The sequence below is a fragment of the Homo sapiens genome, chromosome 1 (assembly GCF_000001405.40).
Source record: "Homo sapiens chromosome 1, GRCh38.p14 Primary Assembly".
NCBI lineage: Eukaryota > Metazoa > Chordata > Mammalia > Primates > Hominidae > Homo > Homo sapiens.
The window spans coordinates 117,500,925-117,521,972 of record NC_000001.11 but is presented as its reverse complement, the minus strand read 5'-3'; the positions used below and the strand labels follow the sequence as shown (position 1 = coordinate 117,521,972).

General features: G+C 34.4%; 1 protein-coding gene across 3 annotated transcripts in view; it reads right to left on the bottom strand.

Annotated features, from left to right (window-relative positions):
• The window catches only part of MAN1A2 (mannosidase alpha class 1A member 2), a 161,424-nt gene that overhangs the window by 6,900 nt on the left and 133,476 nt on the right, over nt 1-21,048 (bottom strand). For 2 of the 3 annotated variants that reach the window (NM_006699.5, XM_006710302.4), the window contains exon 12: nt 19,003-19,118. In NM_006699.5, coding sequence (NP_006690.1) covers nt 19,003-19,118 — 116 coding nt within the window. Of the gene's footprint in view, nt 1-3,591; nt 7,125-19,002; nt 19,119-21,048 lie in introns of those variants that run through there. The other variant, XM_011540536.4, reaches the window with a different exon arrangement.

The following is a 21,048-nucleotide window of genomic DNA, read 5'->3' as shown; positions in this document are numbered from 1 at the left end:
CTCCCACATATCAGTGAGAACATACGATGCTTGGTTTTTCCATTCCTGATTTACTTCACCTAGAATAATAGTTTCCAATCTCATCCAGGTCACTGCAAATGCTGTTAATTGGTTCCTTTTTATAGCTGAGTAGTAGTCCATCGTATAAATATACCACAGTTTCTTTATCCACTCATTGATTAATGGGCATTTGGGTTGGTTCCACGCATTTGGGTTGCAATGGTGAACTGTGCTGCTATAAACATGCATGTGCACGAATCGTTTTTGTATAATGACTTATTTTCCTGTGGGTAGATACCCACTAGTGGGATTGCTGGATCAAATGGTAGTTCTACTTTTAGTGATTTAAGGAATCTCCACACTGTTTTCCATAGTGGTTGTGTAAGTTTACGTTCCCACTAGCAGTGCAGAAGTGTTCCCTGATCACTGCATCCACGCCCACATATAGTGTTTTTTGATTTTTTGATTATGGCCATTCTTGCAGGTGTAAGGTGGTGTCGCAATGTGGTTTTGATTTACATTTCCCTGATCATTAGTGATGTTGAGCATTTTCTCATGTTTGTGGACCACTTTTACATCTTCTTCTCCCACTCTGTGGGTTGTCTGTTCACTCTGCTGACTCTTCCTTTTGCCATGCAAAAGCTCTTTGGTTTAATTAAGTCCCAGCTATTTATCTTTGTTTTTGTTGCATTTGCTTTTGGGTTCTTGGTCATGAAATCCTTGCCTAAGCCAATGTCTAGAAGGGTTTTTCCAATGTTATCTTCTAGAATTTTTATAGTTTCAGGTCTGAAAGTCCTTAATCCATCTTATGTTGATTTTCGTGTAAGATGAAAGATGAGGATCCAGTTTCATTCTTCTACATGTGGCTAGCCAATTATCACAGCACCGTTTGTTGAAAAGGGTGTCTTTACCCCACTTTGTTTGTTTGCTTTGTCGAAGATCAGTTGGCTGTAACTATTTGGCTTTATTTCTGGGTTCTCTGTTCTGTTCCATTGGTCTGTGTGCCTATTTTTATACAAGTATCATGCTGTTTTGGTGACTATGGCCTGAGGTATAGTCTGAAATCAGGAAGTGTGATGCCTCCAGATTTGTTCTTTTTGCTTAGTCTTGCCTTGGCTATGTAGGCTCTTTTTTTGTTCCATATGAATTTTAGGATGTTTTTTCTAGTTCGGTGAAGAATGATGGTGGTATTTTGACAGGAAATGCATTGAATTTGTAGATTGCTTTTGGCAGTATGGTCATTTTCACAATATTCATTCTACCCATTCATGAGCATGGGATGTTTCCATCTGTTTGTGTCATCTATGACTTCTCTCAGCATGTTTTGTAGTCTTCCTTGTAAAGGTCTTTTGCCTCCTTGGTTAGGTATATTCCTAAGTGTTTTATTTTTATTTTTTGCAGTTATTGTAAAAGCGGCTGAGTTCTTGATTTGATTCTCCACTTGGTTGCTGTTGTTGTATAGAAGAGCTATTGATTTGTGTACATTAATTTTGTATCTGGAAACTTTGCTGAATTATTTTATCAGTTCTAGGAGCTCTCTAGAGGAGTCTTGAGGGTTTTCAAGGTAAATGATCATATCATCAGCAAACACTGACAGTTTGACTTCCTCTTTACTAATTTGGATGCCCTTTCTTTCTTTTGCCTGATTGCTCTGGCTAGGACTTCCAGTGCTAGTTGAAGAGGAGTGGTGAGAGTGGGCATCCTTGTCTTGTTCCAGTTCTCAGAGGGAATGCTTTCAACTGTTCCCCATTCACTATTATGTTTGCTGTGGGTTTGTCACAGTTGGTTTTATTACATTGAGGTATGTCCCTTGTATGCCGATTTTGCTGAGAGTTTTAATCATAAAACGGATGCTGGATTTTGCCAAATGCTTTTTCTGAATCTATTGAGATGATCATGTGATTTTTAGTTCTGTTTATGTGGGATATCACATTTATTGACTTGCATATGTTAAACCATCCCTGCATCCCTTGTATGAAACCCACTTGATTATGATGGATTATCTTTTTGATATGTTGTTGGATTCGGTTAGCTAGTATTTTGTAAAGGATTTTGGCATCTGGTTCATCAAGAATATCAGTCTGTAGTTTTCTTTTTTGGGTATGTCCTTTCCTGGTTTTGGTATTAGGGCGATGCTGGCTTCATAGAATGAATTAGGGAGGGTTACTTCTTTCTCTGTCTTGCGGAATAGTGTCAAAAGGATTGGTACCAATTCTTCTTAGAATGTCTGATAGAATTCTGCTGTGAATCCGTCTGTTCCTGGGCTTTTTTTTGTTGGTAATTGTTAAATTACCATTTCAATTTCGCTGCTTCTCTATTGGTCTGTTCAGGGTATCTATTTCTCCCTGATTTAAGCTAGGAGGGCTGTATTTTTCCATGAATTTATCCATCTCTTCTAGGTTTTCTAGTTTATGTGTGTAAAGGTGTTCACAGTAGCCTTGAATGATCTTTTGTATTTCAGTGGTGTCAGCTGTAATATCTCCTGTTTTGTTTCTTAATGAGGTTAATTGAATTTTCTTTCTTTTCTTGGTTAATCTTGCTAATGGTCTATCAATTTTATCTTTTCAAAGAACCAGCTTTTTGTTTCATTCATCTTTTGTATTTTTTTTGTTTCAATTTCATTTAGTTCTGCTCTGATCTTGGTTATTTCCTTTCTTCTGCTAGGTTTGAGTATGGTTTGTTCTTGTTTCTCTAGTTCTTTGAGGTGTGATCTTAGAATGTCAGTTAGTGCTCTTTCGGTCTTTCTGACGTAGGCATTTAGGGCTGTGAACTTTCCTCTTAGCACTGCCTTTGCTGTATCCCAGAGGTTTTGATAGGTTGTGTCACTACTGCTGTTCAATTCAAAGAATTTTTAAATTTTCATCTTGATTTCGTTTTTGACTCAATGCTCATTCAGGAACAGGTTATTTAATTTCTATGTATTTGCATGGTTTTGAAGGCTCCTTTTGGAGTTGCTTTCCAGTTTTATTCCACTGTGGTCTGAGAGAGGGCTTGACAGAATTTCAATATTCTTAAATTTATTAAGGCTTGTTTTATGGCTTATCATATGGTCTATCTTGGAGAAAGTTCCATGCACTCTTGAATAGAATGTGTATTCTGCGGTTATTGGATGGAATGTTCTGCATATATCTGTTAAGTCCATTTGTTCCAGGGTATAGTTTAAATCCATTGTTTCTTTGTTGACTTTCTGTCTTGTTGACCTGTCTAGTGCTGTCAGTGGAGTACTGAAGTCCTCCATTATTGTTGTGTTGCTGTCTATCTGATTTCTTAGGTCTATCAGTAATTGTTTTATAAATTTGGGAGCTCCAGTGTTAGGTGCATATATGTTTAGGACTGTGATATTTTCCTGTTGGACAAGACCTTTTATCATTATATAATGTCCCTCTGTCTCTTTTAATTGCTGTTGTTTTAAAGTTTAAAGCAACTATCATTCTTTTTAAAAACTTTTTCTTCTTTACTGTTTTTTTAAATCAATTTCACTTTCTTTCGCTAATATTTTTACAAAATGGTTTCACCTCATAAAAGATGTGGGCCATCCATAACATTTCATCATAAAAGAAAACATACACCATTTAAAATATACTACATCCCTTTCTGTTACCATGTTTTTATTAGTAAATATGTACTTATAAAAGGGATTTGAACAGTGATTTTCCAAGAATAATGTGAAAAGTAAAAATAGTTTTATCTTTTCTCCAGTATTCATTGCCAAAGTATATGCGCTGCTAAATAACAAGTTTTCTTTTATTCTTAGATAGTTCATGTTGGTACTTTTTGAGTTCTTTTAAATTATGCATTTTCACTGGGTAATCAGACGAGCTTCTTTATAATAGGTTTTTGTCTTTGTTTTATAGTAAACTCTTGCTTTTTCAGAATTTGGATCAATCTTCAGTGGCAAATATTTTTATTTTTATGAAATTCATGAACTGTCATGATATAAAGATCCTCTGTAAAATTACTTTAAGTCTTTCCATTTCCTATATCAGATGGTTTAAAATTCCATGGTTGATTCTTGCTGCCATTTTTATATTTGTTCCTGTTTACCTAATTTTTCTTTCTCCTCTGTTGCTTTAAAGATTTTTTTCTTTACCCCTGGTTTTGAGCAATCTGATTATAAGGTGTCTTGGTAAAGTTTTCTTCATTCATGTTTCTTGTGCTTGGAGTTTGTTTAGCTTCTTGGACCTGTGGGTAAATAGTTTACATCAAGTTTGGAAAGTTTTTTGCCATTATTTCTTCAAAAAAAGGGTTTTTTTGGGGGTCCACCTTCTTGTGTTCTCTTCTTTGGAGATTCTAAGTTCATGTATTTTAAGCCACTGTAAGTTGTCTCATAGCTCATCACTGACAACTTTCTATTTTTATAAGATTCTTATTTTTTGCTCTTGTTTCATTTTGGATAGTTTCATTGCTAAGTCTTCAAGTTCACTAATTTTTACTTCTGCAATGTCTAACATGCTAATAATCTCATCTGGTATATTTTTCAACTGAAACATTACAGTTTTTGTTTAGAGAAATTTGATTTGGGTTTTTATATCTTCTAGGTCTCAACTTTTTGAATAGAGGGAACATAGTTATCATAAATATTTTAACTGTCATTGTCTACTAATTCTAACATCTTTATCAGTTCTAAGTTGGTTTTATTTTCATAATTATTGATCACATTGTACTGCCTCTTGGCATGCATGGTAATCTTTGACTAAGATGCTAGACATTACAGATTTTACTTTGTTGGGTGGTAGTTATTTTTATATTCCTTTATATAAACCTTGAGTTTTGTTCAGGGATGTAGTTAGATCACTTAGAAACAGTCTGATCCTTTCAGGTCTTGCTTTCATTATTTGCTACATAGGTCCAAAGCAGCAGGTTATTCCCCACTATTGAGGCAGGACCTTCCTGAGTACTCACTCTACCCAGTGCCACTTGAATATGAATTTTTACAGTCTGGTTGCTGGTAACAGGCACTGTTCCTGCAACCCTATGTGGCCCTGTGTGAGTGCCAGAAACTGCTGCCTTTAATCCTCTAGGATGATTCTTTCCCTCACCTCAGGTAGGTTCTTCACATGCATGTGATGATCAGCACTCTGCTGAACACTCCAGTGCATTCCCTTGGTTATTTCTCTCTGCAGCTCTCTTCTCTCTGGTACTGTCCTGTGAATTCTAGCTACCTTAGTTTCCCCACACTCACAGCTTCATCTCCTCAGGGAGCACGCTGGGCTTTGTCTCAAGTCCCCTCCCTGTATCATGTCCTGGAAACTCTATCAAGACAGCTGGGGCAATTACAGGGCTTACTTCATTTGTTTCCTGTTTCTCAGAGATTACTGTCCTTCATTGCCTCCTGTCTGGTGTTTCAAAACCATTATTTCACATATATTTTGTCATTTATTTCAGGCAGAAGGGTAAATCTGGTTCCATCTTTAGAGTAAGCAGAAGTTCCACTCATCCATTGTGAGAGACTGTGTCAAACAATTTGCTGAATGCCATGTAATTATGTTCATGGAATCCCCTACTCTCAAGTCTATTATTAATCCAATCCAAAAAGAACATTAGATGGTCCAGCAAGAACTTGTTCTTAGAAATCCTTTCTGATTCTTCATGATGACTAGTTCCTTTCTGTCTTCATACCATGACTTCCTAGAATTTTGTGAAAATGGACATTAAATACATCTATATTTTCTTCAATCCAACTGCATTTGTAGTAGCAATTTAAAATAATCAGTTACTTTTCTTCCTTTGGGGTTCTAGTTTCATCTTAGCCATATTTGTTTACCTGGAATATAATCTGTTATTTTAAATTACTGCAAGAATCCAAATAAATTATATATCAAGATACTATTTCAAATGTGATTTTGCAATTAATATTAATATTTTAGGAATAATGGAGGGAAGCAGTGGGATAGGAAAAAGATAATTTTAAAGAAGGGAAAAGTTGGATTGAAGGGGTTAGAGGAGAGGAGGTTGGAGTTAAAGTATGAGTGCTTTGCATTTTATCTTATAATTCCCTTTTTAGCATGCCATTGCTTTCCTTATATTTTTTTTATTGTGGTAATAAACACATGACATAAAGTTTACCATCTTCACCATTTTTCAGCGTATAGTTCAGTAGTATTAAGTATATTCACACTGTTCTTTGCAAAACTAAAACTCATTTCCATTCCCCTCCCCAGGTCCCTGGTAACCAACATTCTACTTTGTTTCCATAAATGTGACTACTTTAGAGACCTCATAGAAGTGGAATCACCCCATATTTGTCTTTTTATGGCTGACTTATTTCACTTAGCATAATGTCCTCAAGGGTCATCCATGCTGCTTCCCTGATTTTGATTCTAGAGCTCTTATTTCCTACTACTTCTCCTAGTGAATGTACTTTAGTCGGTCTAGTTTCTTTAGTGTTTTTTTAAAGGTATTTTTTCAGGCTGAATCCTTCTTTTCACAAAGCTACTTTCTGTTTTACCCCACCTATTAACATCTTACTAATTCAGCATCATTTTAGTCTTTCTTCATGACTACTCTGGCCTGCACCAAAATTCCCTTCTCTGAATTTCTAAAACATTTATTTTCTATTTAGCACTGAATACAGTTGTCCCTCAGTATCTATGGGGGATTGGTTCCAGGACCTCTCGCAGATACAAAAATCCTTGAATGCTCAAATCCTTGATATAAAATGGTATAGTATATTCATATAACCAATGCATATGCTCCCACATACTTTAAATCTATGTAAATAGTTGTTATATTGCCTAGGGAATAATGACAAGAAAAAGGTATATACATGCTCAAAACAGATGTAATTTTTAAAAAACTATATCTTCAATCCATGTTTGGTTGAATCCATGAACCCATTGACATGGAGGGCCAACTGCATATATACTTTGTACTTTTATTAAATTTGTCCATGCCTAAAGGTAAGAGATTTCTAAACCAGACTCCAAGCTATTTATGGGTAGAGTATACATTTCATATACTTTAATTCTCAAATACAACTCTGAGAAAGCAGGTACTTATAAGTACATATTGATTTGACTTAGCTTGTCTCCAGGAGTAAGTGAGCAGAAAACAGCAGAATAGGGGACTTGATGCTACTCTTTTCATCCAGCTGGAAAAACAGTTCTCTCATGGTAGGAGGCTAACTTCAAGATCCAGTTGCAGACAAGATAAAAGATAAACAAAGGAAATAGTGGCTTTGTTTTTCAGTCTTCTCTAACCGTTTTTTCCCCTCATCTGAGAATCCTCACCCACAATGATCCCACTGATTCTCTCTCTCCAAAATATATTACTTAGTCACTTGTGCTCAGAAATTTAAAAGTCATACTACTATTGATGTTTTATGGACAAAGCCACTAACAGAGTTGTCTCTGAACTTACTTCAAAACCTTGCTCAGGGAATTTGCTTTAATAGTCTGATAGCTAGCTAACTGTGCATTCATTTGCTTATACTGAGAATAACTTCATAAGCAAATGAAGATAACAACAGCAGTAAAAAAGAGAATTAAAACTATGAGAGGATACGACAATAACATCAGTACCAATACCTATTCTGGATAATTTACTAGTTTTCCCCTCCCTTTGGCCCCCAGTATTTTATAAAACTTTCTTTTTCTTCTTTTTTTTTTTTTTGAGATGGAGTCTTGCTGTGTCCCCCAGCTGGAGTGCAGTGGCATGATCTTGGTTCACTGCAACCTCTGCCTCCCGGGTTCAAGTGATTCTCCTGTCTCAGCCTCCTAAGTAGCTGAGATTACAGCCATGCACCACCATGCCCGGCTAATTTTTGTATTTTTAGTAGAGACGGGGTTTCACCATGTTGGCCAGGCTGGTCTCGAACTCCTGAACTCAGGTGATCCACCCGCCTTGGCCTCCCAAAGTGCTGGGATTACAGGCATGAGCCACTGTGCCCAGCCTGTAAAACTTCCAAACATAGAAATGTTGGAAGAATTTTACAGTGAAGTGCACATATACTTACCTCCTAGAGGTAAGCTGGTATCACAAATTGGTATCAAGTTGGTATCACAAATCTATTACTCTATTCATTTATTACTAGCTTTCTTTACAATACTACAATATGTTCCCTTAGAAAAAGTAGCTAAGTTAGCAAACCAAACTAAATATCAAGAATAACTTGCTTAGTAAAATTGTTTGCAAAGGAAGAACTAGAAGACAATGAAATTTTTTAAAAAGCCAGACAAACTTAGGGCAATAAACTGCAGGCAACAATATTTACCTGAGTTTTGAGAGAAAAACTGTTGCCACAAATTTTAGCTCCTACATTTCTGCTTTTAGAAGCACCAGATTAAAAACATTTAGAATTTTTATTTAATAAATAGCAAATTATTTTATAATATTTATTTAATAATAGTAAATTAGATGAAATTACTTTTAAGGGATGAATTTGAAAATTACTAGAAAGAAAAAATTAAGAGCAAGATTAAGTGTAGCCAAATGGTAAACAATTCTTTTTTTCTGATTCCTTTCAAAAACACATGATTAACGGACCATCAAAAAGTGAATGGACAAATAAAATGTGGTATATCCAAACAAGAGCATAATACTCATCAATAGAAAGGAATGAACTATTGATAAATGCAACATGGATTAACCTAAAAAATATTATGTAAAAAAAACCAAACATAAACGTTATTGTGGTGAAAGCCACGTAACATAAAATTTACCACCTTAACCATTTTAAAGTGTACAGTTCAGTAGTGTTGAGTATATTCACATTGTTTACCTTGTAAAACTCAAACTCTATACCCCTTAAACAATGATTATCCTTTACCTCCTCCCTAATACTGCATGATTCAAATTATATGAAATTTCACAAGCAGCAACCTATAGTGACAGAAAGCAGATTAGAGTTTGGGGGTGGGTAGAACTGACTGCCAAATTAGAATGGAAATATTCCATGCATCAAGTAAGGCTGATGTTTACCCAGGCTTAAACATTTGCCAAAATGCAATAAACTGTACACTTAACATATTTCAATAAAGCTGATTTTAAAAGTTTTTTTAAAAAGACTAATGAACAAGGATGGAGAAGAATAGCCTTATTGTGTATTGCTACATTAGTAAAATTTGGGTTGTAGCTCCCTCTACTGTAGCAAAAGAAATTGGCAAGCATATTTCAAAGATTAAATTTTTGAAACTGGAAAAATGCTTATATTAAATAGTAGAAGTGAAATTCACTTTGTGTGTTCCTACGTGTGTGTGTGTGTGTGTGTGTGTGTGTGTGTGTATCCCAGTGCCTAATATTTAGATTGCATTGTATTAGGACATAGGAAGCACTTAAAAATGTAAAGACCACGGTTCTGGTCTTCCAGTATACCTATTTGAAGAGACTGAACTACATAAATACAGCAGTTAAGCAAAGACTTGCCCACCTGACTTTATGCTAGGTTCTCTGCCAGTATAGTTAATTTCTTAATCCCTAATTGTCTCCATAAGTGTTTTACTGGGTCACAGATGTCAGTGGTTATCAAAGTGTGATTCCCCCAGACCAGCAGCATCAGCATCACCTGGGAACTTGTTAAAAACGCAAATTCTTAGGCCCCACTCTAGACCTATTTATCAGAAACTCAACAGAGCCCAGCATCCCATGTTTTAAGAGGCCTTCCAGGTGATTCTGATGTACACTCAGGTTTGAGAACCACTTTTCTAGGTTACCAACTTTGTGTAACTTCTAACAACAATTAGTTGGTACTGTTTCTGCTTTTCTCCTTTATGTGGGCATCTGGACCTTTGACTCTCTACTGAAAACAAATCCGCAGCCCTGACATCCTCAGCTTTCACATTTTGCCTTGGGTCCCTTCTTCTTGCTTTATCAATTCTTTGACTCATTATCAGACACCTCCTAAAACTAAGTGAATTCTGAGATCAAGCTCTAAGCCCCAACCAGGAAATAAAGTAGGTCTATTATTCTCTTCTCTTTCCCCCTCCTACTCTTATTATATACAAGATCTTATAAAATTGCTGGGGTTTTTTAGCTGTCTCCTTTGAAATGAAATGATTCAATCCTTTATTCAGCAAACATTTAATACTGAAATACATAGTATATGAGTGGCCCTACCGTAGATACTGCGGATAAAACAATAACCCAAATATACAAAAATACTGTAAACTCTTCATGTAGTTTATATTCTAATTGGGGAATGCTTAAGAAAATTATGTGCTATGTTGGAAGATAGGTGCTATGAAGAAAAGTAAAGCAGGGAAAAGTAAGAGGGAGTAAGGGAACAATTTGAAATTGTATACAGGATGATCAGGTAATGCCTTAAACACAACTGATAAAATGATATAATTAAAAACTAAAGAGGGATCAGAGTAAAGATGCAAATAGCCAAGTTCTTTTCTTGCCTAACAGACTAAAAATTTATCAACAAATTCAATACATATTTACTGAGTGCCTCATGTGCTAGGTGCTGGGGAGATCATAGTAGTTAAAAGGAAAAAGTCCCTACGGCTATGAGGCTTACATTCTACTGGAAGATAGATTAAAAAAAAAAATCCATCTAGGCTGAGCATGATGACTCATACCTGTAGTCCCAGCACTTTGGGAGGCTAAGGTAGAAGGATTGCTTGAGCCTAGGAGTTCAAGACCAACCAGGGCAATTAGCAAGACCCGCATCTCTACCAAACAAGAACACCACACACCTATGTCAGATGGTGATATGGATTGGCTCTGTGTCCCACCCAAATCTCATCTCGAATTGTAATCCCCATAATCCCCATATGTAGAGGGAGGGATGTGGTGGGAGGTGACTGGATCATGGGGGTGGTTTCCCCCATATTGTTCTCCTGATAATGAGTGAGTTCTCATGAGATCTGATGGTTTTATAATGTTTGACAGTTCCTCTTTCACATGCTCTCTTTCCTGCCACCACGTAAGATGTGCCCACCTCCCCTTCTGCCACGATTTAAGCTTCCTGAGGCTTCCCCAGTTATGCAGAACTGTGAGTCAATTAAACCTCTTTTCTTCATAAATTACCCAGTCTTGGGCAGTTCTTTATAGCAGTGTGAGAATGGACTAATACAGATGATGTTAGTGTTATGAAGAAAAATAAAGGAGGGCAAGGACAGAGAATAATGAAGGGTTTGGATAATACACATAGGGCATATTTTTACAGGCAGGCACTCAAAACAGCATAATTATAAGTTAGGGGGAGAGTGAATGAAATTTTTAGGATGTAAGTTATTTTATGTCAGGATTATTTTACATTCATTGATGCAGCCCTAGCATACAAAACAGCTGGCACACATCAGGCACTTAACAACAAACATTTGTTGGATAAATCATTTCATATATTACATTTGTATTGTTTATATATTTTAATCACTATTTACTTAGTAGAAAAAGAGCTCACATCTTGATAAAGAACAAAGAGGTGGAATTAAGGATTCCAGAAAGCACTAGTTTAAAAGGATGAGCAAACACTGAAACTGTCATTCCATTTACTTCCTAAGAATCTGATTGTTTGACTTTTCATCTGTGTTCTTAACTTACAGAAAACAAGTTTTAAGTGATTTACTCTGTTGTCTAAGATTTACTTAAAACAAAAGGTTTGTTCATTCAAATCTTACTACACATTATCAGGTAGTGCCTAAATGTCTCCATACTTCTCAGAATACCCATCTGATTTTAACCATTTCTAATTAATTTTCTGAAACTCTCTGAGAAGTTTTCTGAAAAGTTCGCTCTCTCAGCTTATTTTGCTTAATTATAGTTATGTCAAATGCACATGCCACTGCCCTAGTCATCCATTTTACTTCTAGGAATCTAACCAACATTTATCTTCACACAGGGAGCAGAGATATATGTAAAAGGACATTCACTGAAGCACTGTTTATAAGAGCAAAAAAACAGAACCAAGTTCTATATCTAACAATAGGGTACTGATTAAACAAATTATAAAACATTCCTCAGTGGATTTATATATGCCAATATGGAAACCTTTCCTAGATAAAAAGGTGGAAATGCAAGTTTCAGAATAATAGGTATATATAATCTTATATATGGAGAAAAAAGGCTAAAGGATATATATTATATATATTTTTATATGTTTGCATATACCCAGAAAATTTCCAGAAGGCTATATCAAGAACTATTTAATAATTATTCTCTTTGGGAAGTGAGATTGGATGTGAGGCACAAAGAAACTCATTTTTTTTTTTTGTCATTTCTTCAGTTCTGCACTATTTAACTCGTTTTGCAATATCCACATGCTATTTTTATAATTCAAAAAAAGCTGTATTAAAAACAACTTGATTTTTTAGGAGCTACACATTATAGTGTTTAAACAACTGATTTTAATATGACAAGTGCTATGCTGTTATGTATATATAGCTCAACAAACACATTGATTGCATGCATGCTTGTTCTAACTCAAACACTAAACTAAAGCACTGAGAATATTAATATTTCACATAGACTATCAGGACAAATGAAGTACTGATAATACACACTTAAGGATATTTTAAGAATATACTTCCAAGTCGGGGCAGGGGCCACAGGTGGACCTTGCTTCCTTAACAACAACGAAAAAGAATATACTTCCAGTGTACTCTCACTTAGGGTGTTTGAAAGTGACTAGATTCTTACATCCTTGCCAACACCAGAACAAAAACTTTTAAATCTTAAGCAGTGTGAAAGTAAATAAAACATAGCATCTGATCTATTATTTCATTTATTTCTTACAAGTGGATCAAGCATTCTTCATGTGTTTACAGCCATTTCTTTTCTAAGAACTGCTACTACCTTTTTTAGTAGGCTTAGTATTTTTTCTTAATAATTTCTAATTTTAAGAAATGTTTTCCCAGTGTGCCATCTGTCTTTTACTTTACTTAGTGCTCTTTTTTTTGTACAGATGTTTTTTATTTTTATGTAATTGAATTCTCAATCTTTTCTTCAATGATCTTTGGGTTTTGTATCATGCCATCTTCATCCCTAGGGTTGAAAAAAACTTTCCAATTGTTTCATGATTTTATTTCTTTTTTTAATATTTAAAGCTTTGCTCTATAGAAACTTAGTTTTGGTACTTAGCAGTGATCCAGCCTATTTTTTTCAAAATAGAGTATTTTTAAAGATGTTTTTAAATATTTACAGAGACAAAAACAAAAAGTATTTTTAAAAACTAAAATAACTTCAATTAAGCTAAACTACAGTTCACATTTTGATATTGTTGAAATACTATTAACATGTTCATCTATGTGTTACGTATGCACATGTGGACTTAATAGCCCACTTAATATTATACTGTGAAAAGTCTATAAAAATGCAATTGTTTTGGCTTCATGATACTATTGTGGATGTGCCATAATTTACTTAACCATTCAGCTATTATTGAACAAATAATGACTTATTTTTATAACAGCAATAAACATCTCTGTACATAAATCTTTGTCCATAACTCTGATTATTTAAGATTACTTATTCTTAAGTATATAAGTATATATAAGAATATAAGACATATTCTTATATAGCTTTCCAGAATTTTACTATATTCAAAGTTTGAATTTCAAGAGATACGGAGGAAAAAAGCACACAAGCAAGAGACACAGACATAATTTCTGCCCCAGAGACTCTGATACCAGTGAAAGTAGACATACTGTGGTGATAAATTTGATCTTAATTTTATGCTATTTCTCTTTCCTTTAATAACAAATTTGTTAAGACTATGTTTCCAACTTGTGATTTCTGAGCTGCCTAATGCCTGATATATATGAACTCAGAAAAAAATGGTTGAAATGTATCCTCAAAATGTATACTTTTCTCAGTTTATCAGATCTTTAAATAAATGTGCAACAGAATTGAGGTAAGGTGCAATGAAAATCTAATTCAAAGAAAGATCTAGGTGAATGGGTGTAGACACTAAGGTACATATATAAAATAATACACACCTTCAAAGTTTTTGATAAGAGGCTTATGACAGTAAATGGTATAAAGTGATAGAACCATAGAGAATCCACGTGGGAGATATTCATTCAGCAATTCAAGTGCTGCTACTAGAGAACCGCTCCTAGGAGTCTTGGTGTTCTATCTGCTAATTTCCTCGCAATTCTTTCAGCTTAAGAGACTTTTGACCAACTGCTATTTCACTGAATCCAATGAATAAGACAATCCTTGGAGGGACAAAAGCCATTATCAAAGAACATATTTCTCTTTCTTGCAGCTGGAGAGGGGACAGTAGTACCATTTAGCTCTTCTTACAAAACAATCAAGACTCCAACCAAGTGTCTTTAAACAAGTTCATATGTTAACTAAAAGCTATTCATGGCTTTTCTTTCTTACATGACTCCTCCCCTTATTTAAAAAGCAAGCTGACTTGTATTTATTAGTAATAATGCACCTAAAATCTTCAGCAACTAATTCTTGTCTCAAAATACTCAGAAATAAACAGTCTATACATTTAATCTTGAAGAAATCTCTCAGAGCCTCTGTCCTCCTCAATCTCAATACAGTATCCCTTTATCTTCCTTTCACTTCTTTCCTGTATTTATGTCTTCTTTTTTGGTTTATATCCAGTTTTCATGGAGCATATGTTCCAAAAACTTACTGAGAAAGAGGATTGGAAGTGGATTTTTGATACCTTACATGGCTAAAAACCCAGAATTCTAAGTTGGAATTAATTTTCTCTCATGAATCAACTGCTCCAATGCTTCTAGCTTTCATGACTGTTCTTGAGAGGTCTGAAGGCACTCTGAATCCAGATCTACGAGACTTTATTCTATTCTCTCTCCCTGTGGAAGCTGAGATCTTTCCTTTACCCCAGTGGTTTTGAAATTCCAAGGTGCTGTGCCTTGTTGTGGGTCTGTTTTCATCTTCTATGCTGGGATCTTGATGGTGTCTTTCAAGCTGGAAACATATCCTTCTATTTTTGGATATTTTCTTAACCTTGTTATATTCATATTTTAAACTTTAAAAGTCAAAGTATAACACACATACACAAATATGCCAAATCTTACATGTTTATCGTTCAATAAACATTTCTAAGTCAATACTGTTTATTAATATTTAAAAGTAAGGCACTAACATGCTGATTAGAAACTGTAGTCAGGTTGGCACTGGAAACTTTAATATTATCTCTGATTCTTCCTTCTTACTGAATCTCCTCATATCTAATTAGATATTCAGGTTTGTCAATTCTACCTTTAGAGCTCTCATCTCATTCTTAATATCCCATGGTCTACTTTATAGCTATTACCCTGAATACCAGTTCATCCTATTTTACCCACCTTGCCTTCAAGTCTGGTTCAAATGCTACTACTTCCAGGAAGTATTCCCTTGTTTTTCAGGTTAAGCAAACTCTTTCTTCTCTAAAAGACTTCTGCATTTTGTTAATATTTCTCTTATGCACTTAATGTATTTAAAATTTGTTGTATATATTGCTTGTGTTTTATTTCCTGTACTAGAGTATAAGAGTTTTAGAACCTTTGAAGGAATCTATCTCTGACCTTCCTCATTACATAGTTTTTGTTATGCCATCAGTATATATGCTAGATAAATATTAATCCATGAAGTAAGGTCTATTGAGGGAAACAAAAAAAGTAGGAGACATGGCCTCTTCTGGGGAAAAAAGTATGCCTATAGCAATAACTACTCCATGGTATAGCACCTATGACACATGTAAAAGGTAAAATGAGCCTCAACTTACGTCAAGAATACAGGTTTTTTCATTTAACTTTGCCACTGCCGTGACAATCAGTTTCCATCTCTGGTAGCTAAAACACATTGATTGTTGCCTTTTAATGAATCCGCAGTAAATTCCCACCAATTGGGAGAATACATAATCTTAAACTGACAGCTTCTGACAAAGCCTATTTAAATTAACTGATATTTGAGAAATATTTAAGAGACCATACTTATCTTCATTCCTCTATAAAGTTTTAAGCTCTATTTTTACAATAAAACTACAGCTACATTAATTTAGATCTTCACAGAAATGACTTTATTCAATTGTATTTTAATATTATGCCATCAGTTTTTATAAAGAGTAAATCAGATTGAGTGTTTTTGTATCTTCCCTAAGATCACTGTTTCAAACAAAATAAATATTTTCAAAATATTTACCATTACCATTATGTATTAGGTTGAACTATACTAAATTGCCAATATTCAAATTACCCTTTTTAAAAGGGTAATTTCATATGGTTCACTTAATAGTTCAATATTTTTATAGAGTTATCCAATTTAAGTCATTTTATAATTTAGCAACATAAAAAATTCTGTCTCATTTGTCAAAGTAATATGCTCCCTCAACTCCCAAAAATGATAATGACACTGTGCAGAATGATTCCTTTTTGCTTTAGCTGCCAGGAAGTGCAATGCTGAATGTACTGCCAGGAAGTGCAATGCTGAATGTACTGCTCAACTGTGACAATTTTCTTAGCCTAGGTGATGTTATAATTATTTGTATGTTTCTTTTTGTTTGACCTTTTTCACTTTTATTGCTCCAGATATATGTTTTTCTAAAAGCAAAAATTGTAGCAAATATATCTATCTATATATATATAGATAGATATACATAAATAACTGGTTACCTAGCATACTGTTGTGTTGAGAAGAGTTCTGACTGAACTTGGCAAGGAAAAGTACCAAGATTAACTGGTGATATTCCATATAGGTACTAGAAGGGGATGAGGCAGCATACCATCTATTTCCAGCCCTATGCCATGCATGTACTAAAGTGCTCCAAGTTGTAATGATGAGAGATTTGAGAATTAATTATGAAAGCCAGTCTGCAAAGAGGTGAAATTTGAACTGAAATTAGAAATGAGAGAGAGGCATTAATTGATAGAAAGGATAAAGGCATTCCTGCCAGAAGCAATGAAATATAAAATAGACAAATGCAAGAGAAGAAACTTTATATATACGTAAATATTTGAATGTACATTAGGTTGGTTTAAGAATAGAATCTAGGATTAAAAGAATATTCACAGTCTCAAAATTATCACTCCACAGATAAGTTATTAATTACAAAAAGAAAAAAGATTGTTTACATGACAATAATCAAATATAACCTATGCTCAAATTTAAAATCACCAATAATGGGCTAAACTATTATGTGTCTCTTTAAGGGATGCAATGATAAGAACACAGATCCATATAATGTTCATGCTGAAAATGTTTAACCTAAATCTGATCATGTGGAACAATTAGAAAAAAATCTAAAATGGGGAACATTCCTCAAAGCAACTAGCCTGAAAACTTTAAAAATGTCAATTTCATAAAAGATAAAAGAAAAACAGGAAAACTCTGTGCTAGATTAAAGGAGACTAAAGAGACGATGACAACCAAACGTAACAAATGATCCCATACTGGATCCTGAATTGGCATTAAACAAAAATAAAGTACATTATTGGAACAATTGGAGAAATTTGAAAATGGGATTACATATTAGACAACATTATTATATGAATATTAAGGTTCGCAAGTGTGAGAACTGAATGGTGATTATGTAAGATGATGACCTTTTCTTGAAACCTACTGTTGAAATATATTGCTGGTCACCATCAACTTGTCCAGCAAAATAAAAAGCTAAAAAAAAAGTAAAACTATGTGTATATGTGAGTGTACACAGAAAGAAAGAGAAGGAAATGTGGCAAAACTAGGTGAAAAGACACAAATAATCATTGTCCTATCTTACAGTTTTTCTGAAGTTTAAAAAAAAAAAAAAAACAGGAGAGATACTACACAATCTGGGCCAAATTCCATAGTTTACAGACATGTAAACCAAAAGCAAAAAATTTTATTTTGACATGTTCATTCAGCTAGATGTAGCTAGTGTACAACTAAAGTTCCCGTCACTTTATTTTCTAGTCTAGTGCTCTTTCAACTTCTACAGTCTCAAGCCTAATCACAAAGGATAAGTCAGAATAAGAAACATCTAGATGTAGGAAACTGAGTACCAGGCAGATGTTCTAAACCATCCCAGCAGTAATAAGGGGCTGGATTAGGGTAAATTGTAGAAATGGAAAGGAGGGAGCAAAATAAAAAAATGTAACAGAAAGAAGCATAAAGAATTGGTGATATATTAAAAGGAGGAAGCAGATGATTCTATAATGTATAAGCTAAAAAGATAGGAAAACAACAGTACTGGGGTAATAAAAGAAAAATTAGAATAAGATAGACATTTAGAAACTTAGTTTGAGAACGGTACATTTTAATTGTAATATATGAGAATGTAAACTACAAGTATACTAGAATGTAAAATCCAGAAGGCAGGAATTTTTGTCCTGCTTGCCTACTGAAACATCCTCAAGTGGCTTGAACAGTGCCTGGTAATACACATTTGTTGAAAAAATAAAATGTTTACAAGGCTTTCATGTACAGATATGCAAGAAATACAAATAATAAATTTAAGAGCGAGTATGAAGAGATATTTATTTGGTCAGTCTTTAGGGAAGTGGACATATTTACAATCTCCATCTCTTCCAGGTCTGTTTACAGAGACCTCTACCTGGGGTTTGGAGTATAAGACGAAAATAAAGTTGTCTACTCTTTTCCATTGTTCCTTTTATGTGTATCTTTACAGTAAGGCTCATCGGGTGGATGAGTGGCTATGGTCATTTAGTACTATCAAAACTGCATGATCATTCCTAACAGATTTCATTAGCTACAGTAGGGAGCTCAGGTATGAGTCCAGGACCAGCATTATCAGTAACACATGGGAGCTTGTTAGAAATGCAAATTTTTAAGCTAAACTCCAGATCTACTGAAACTTCGTGAGTGTGGACCTAGTTACCTGTGTATTACGAAGCCTTCCAGGTGATTTTAATGCACATTAAAGAGCAAAGAACAAAAAATTTTAACAGGTACTAAGTACTTTTTTGATAAAATACCTACCTTATAGTCTAAGTCATTCTTTTTGAGATGTAGCTAAAAATTTACACACCCAATTACATAAAAAGATATTTACAACAAAATTTAGTGTAACCTGTCACATAGTTGTAATTCATCATCTAGTGATCACACAGCAAAACCAGTCTAGTATAAAAATATTTTTTAAAGCTATATACTTACTTTAATGTTTCAGCAAGAAAAAAGCTCTGCTGTACATCATCATGTGTAGGAGTAGAGGAATATACATCTTTGACTCCAGAAAACCCACCATTAACTCGGCAATACTTTTCAATGGCCTATGAAAGAGATCAGACAAAATAAGCAATTCCGTAGAATTTCAAGTTTTGAAGGACAACAAAACTTTGAAGGACAATAGTCAAAAGCTCATAAAGATTTGTATGAAAATTTGATGGCTTAAGAATAATATATTATCAAAAGGAAATATTCTCATACTGGAAAAATTAACTCATACGAGAAACAGGATGTTTCCTATAGAACTTCTCTGTCTCCAAAACTCTTTAATCTTTTTAAGACATCTTATATTTTCCTAACTTAGAAATCAAATTTAGGCTATTTTTTCTAAATGAGGGGTCTGTCTGGCAAAATAAAGGTCCATTAGTTCTAACAAATCAAGATGGAGGTCAGTTTCAATTAACAATTTTTAATGCAATTTTATCACTTCCAAGGACAAACAATAACCCACAACATGCTAAAAAATATTACTTAGGAGCACTCTATAGTAATAGCGGTAAGAGATAATATTTACTAAATACATACCATATGCCAGACATTGCATTATCATAATCCTATGAGTTAGCCATTACAGGTGGTACCAACTGGCAGAAAGAGCCCACCTACTACAATAATAATTACAATATAAAGAGTTAACAATTATAAGGTATTTACTATGTGCTGAATGCTGTTCTAAGAGCTTTAAATACAGTCACATTTGAATTTCAGAACTCTATGAGGTTAACAGCCTCACTTTTCAGATGGGAAAACTGAGGCACAGAGTAATTTGCTCTACATTATTAACTACTGTGCTTTACTGCTTGACTGAGAGTTAAAATTCTTACTCTTTTTGCATCTTTGGGCATGCCTAAATAAAATATACTGAATCAAATGGAATCTATTCACAACCTTATTTTTTAATTCAAAGCAACCAAACAGTCTGCTTATGCAGGTACAGCACAGTCCAGAATTCAACCAATCATGAAAAGTGGAAAGCACATGTGGTAGTTTTGTTTTTCTATTCTACCTAACCCTGCAAGGTCATCCAATGAAGGCATGGTTACTTAACTAACCATCGCTGTCTGCCATGGCTTGTTGTTCCTAGTCTTGCTACTTTTCTTACTCTTCTGGGCTTCTCCTTCCTATGAAAAGCTAATTAACATTAAAAAGGTGTTTATTTAATCAATCTGCTCATTTTATAGCTCCATTTTGATTATAACTAAATTTAAGGGGTTTGGTGCTTTTCTCTAATATATTCTAAAGAAATTTTGGATACAAGAGTTTTTAAGTACTTTTCTTCACAATAATCATGTGTCTTCACCACCACATGAACTATCAAAATGGTTTAAGAATAATAAGAAAGTAGTGGGGAGGCATGACTAATCTTTAAGACATTTAAAGTCATGAGGGCAAGTTTGGAAGTTTGAATATGTAAACAGAATAGCTAAGGCTACAGAAGACACGCTATACTGCTATTCTGCCTCACCCAGCCTTCCCTTTGCTTTCTTCGCACCCAAGAGGAGAGGCCAATGGTGATGCATGAGCAAATACTATTTAAGATATGACACCGCCTCTTTTGCCTCCATTCCTCCCTCTTCTCATCACTTCCACTGCACACTTCTGAAACTTGAATTTAGAGTATAACTACTCTAGTTCTTGTTCTTGACCGATTATACATTGAGTTTGTGTTTGTGCATATAGGCTACAAAAGCAAAATTCTACCTCCTATAATTCAAATTTAGACAGACATGGGCTAAAGTTTGACCCTGTCACACCTCTCCTTAACAGACAAAAGTAGGGCCATACTTGAAGAAAGCACACAGGAAAAAAGGACATTAGGAAAAGGATGAATTATCCTAAAGTATTCCTCAATGACAAAAAGTGCTTCTGCCACCACTTTCCACTCCTCACGTGATTCAGACATATCCCCCTCATTCCTGTAAATAAGGAGCATTAAATATCAGGGGACATTCAAGTGAAACAGATTCATTATAT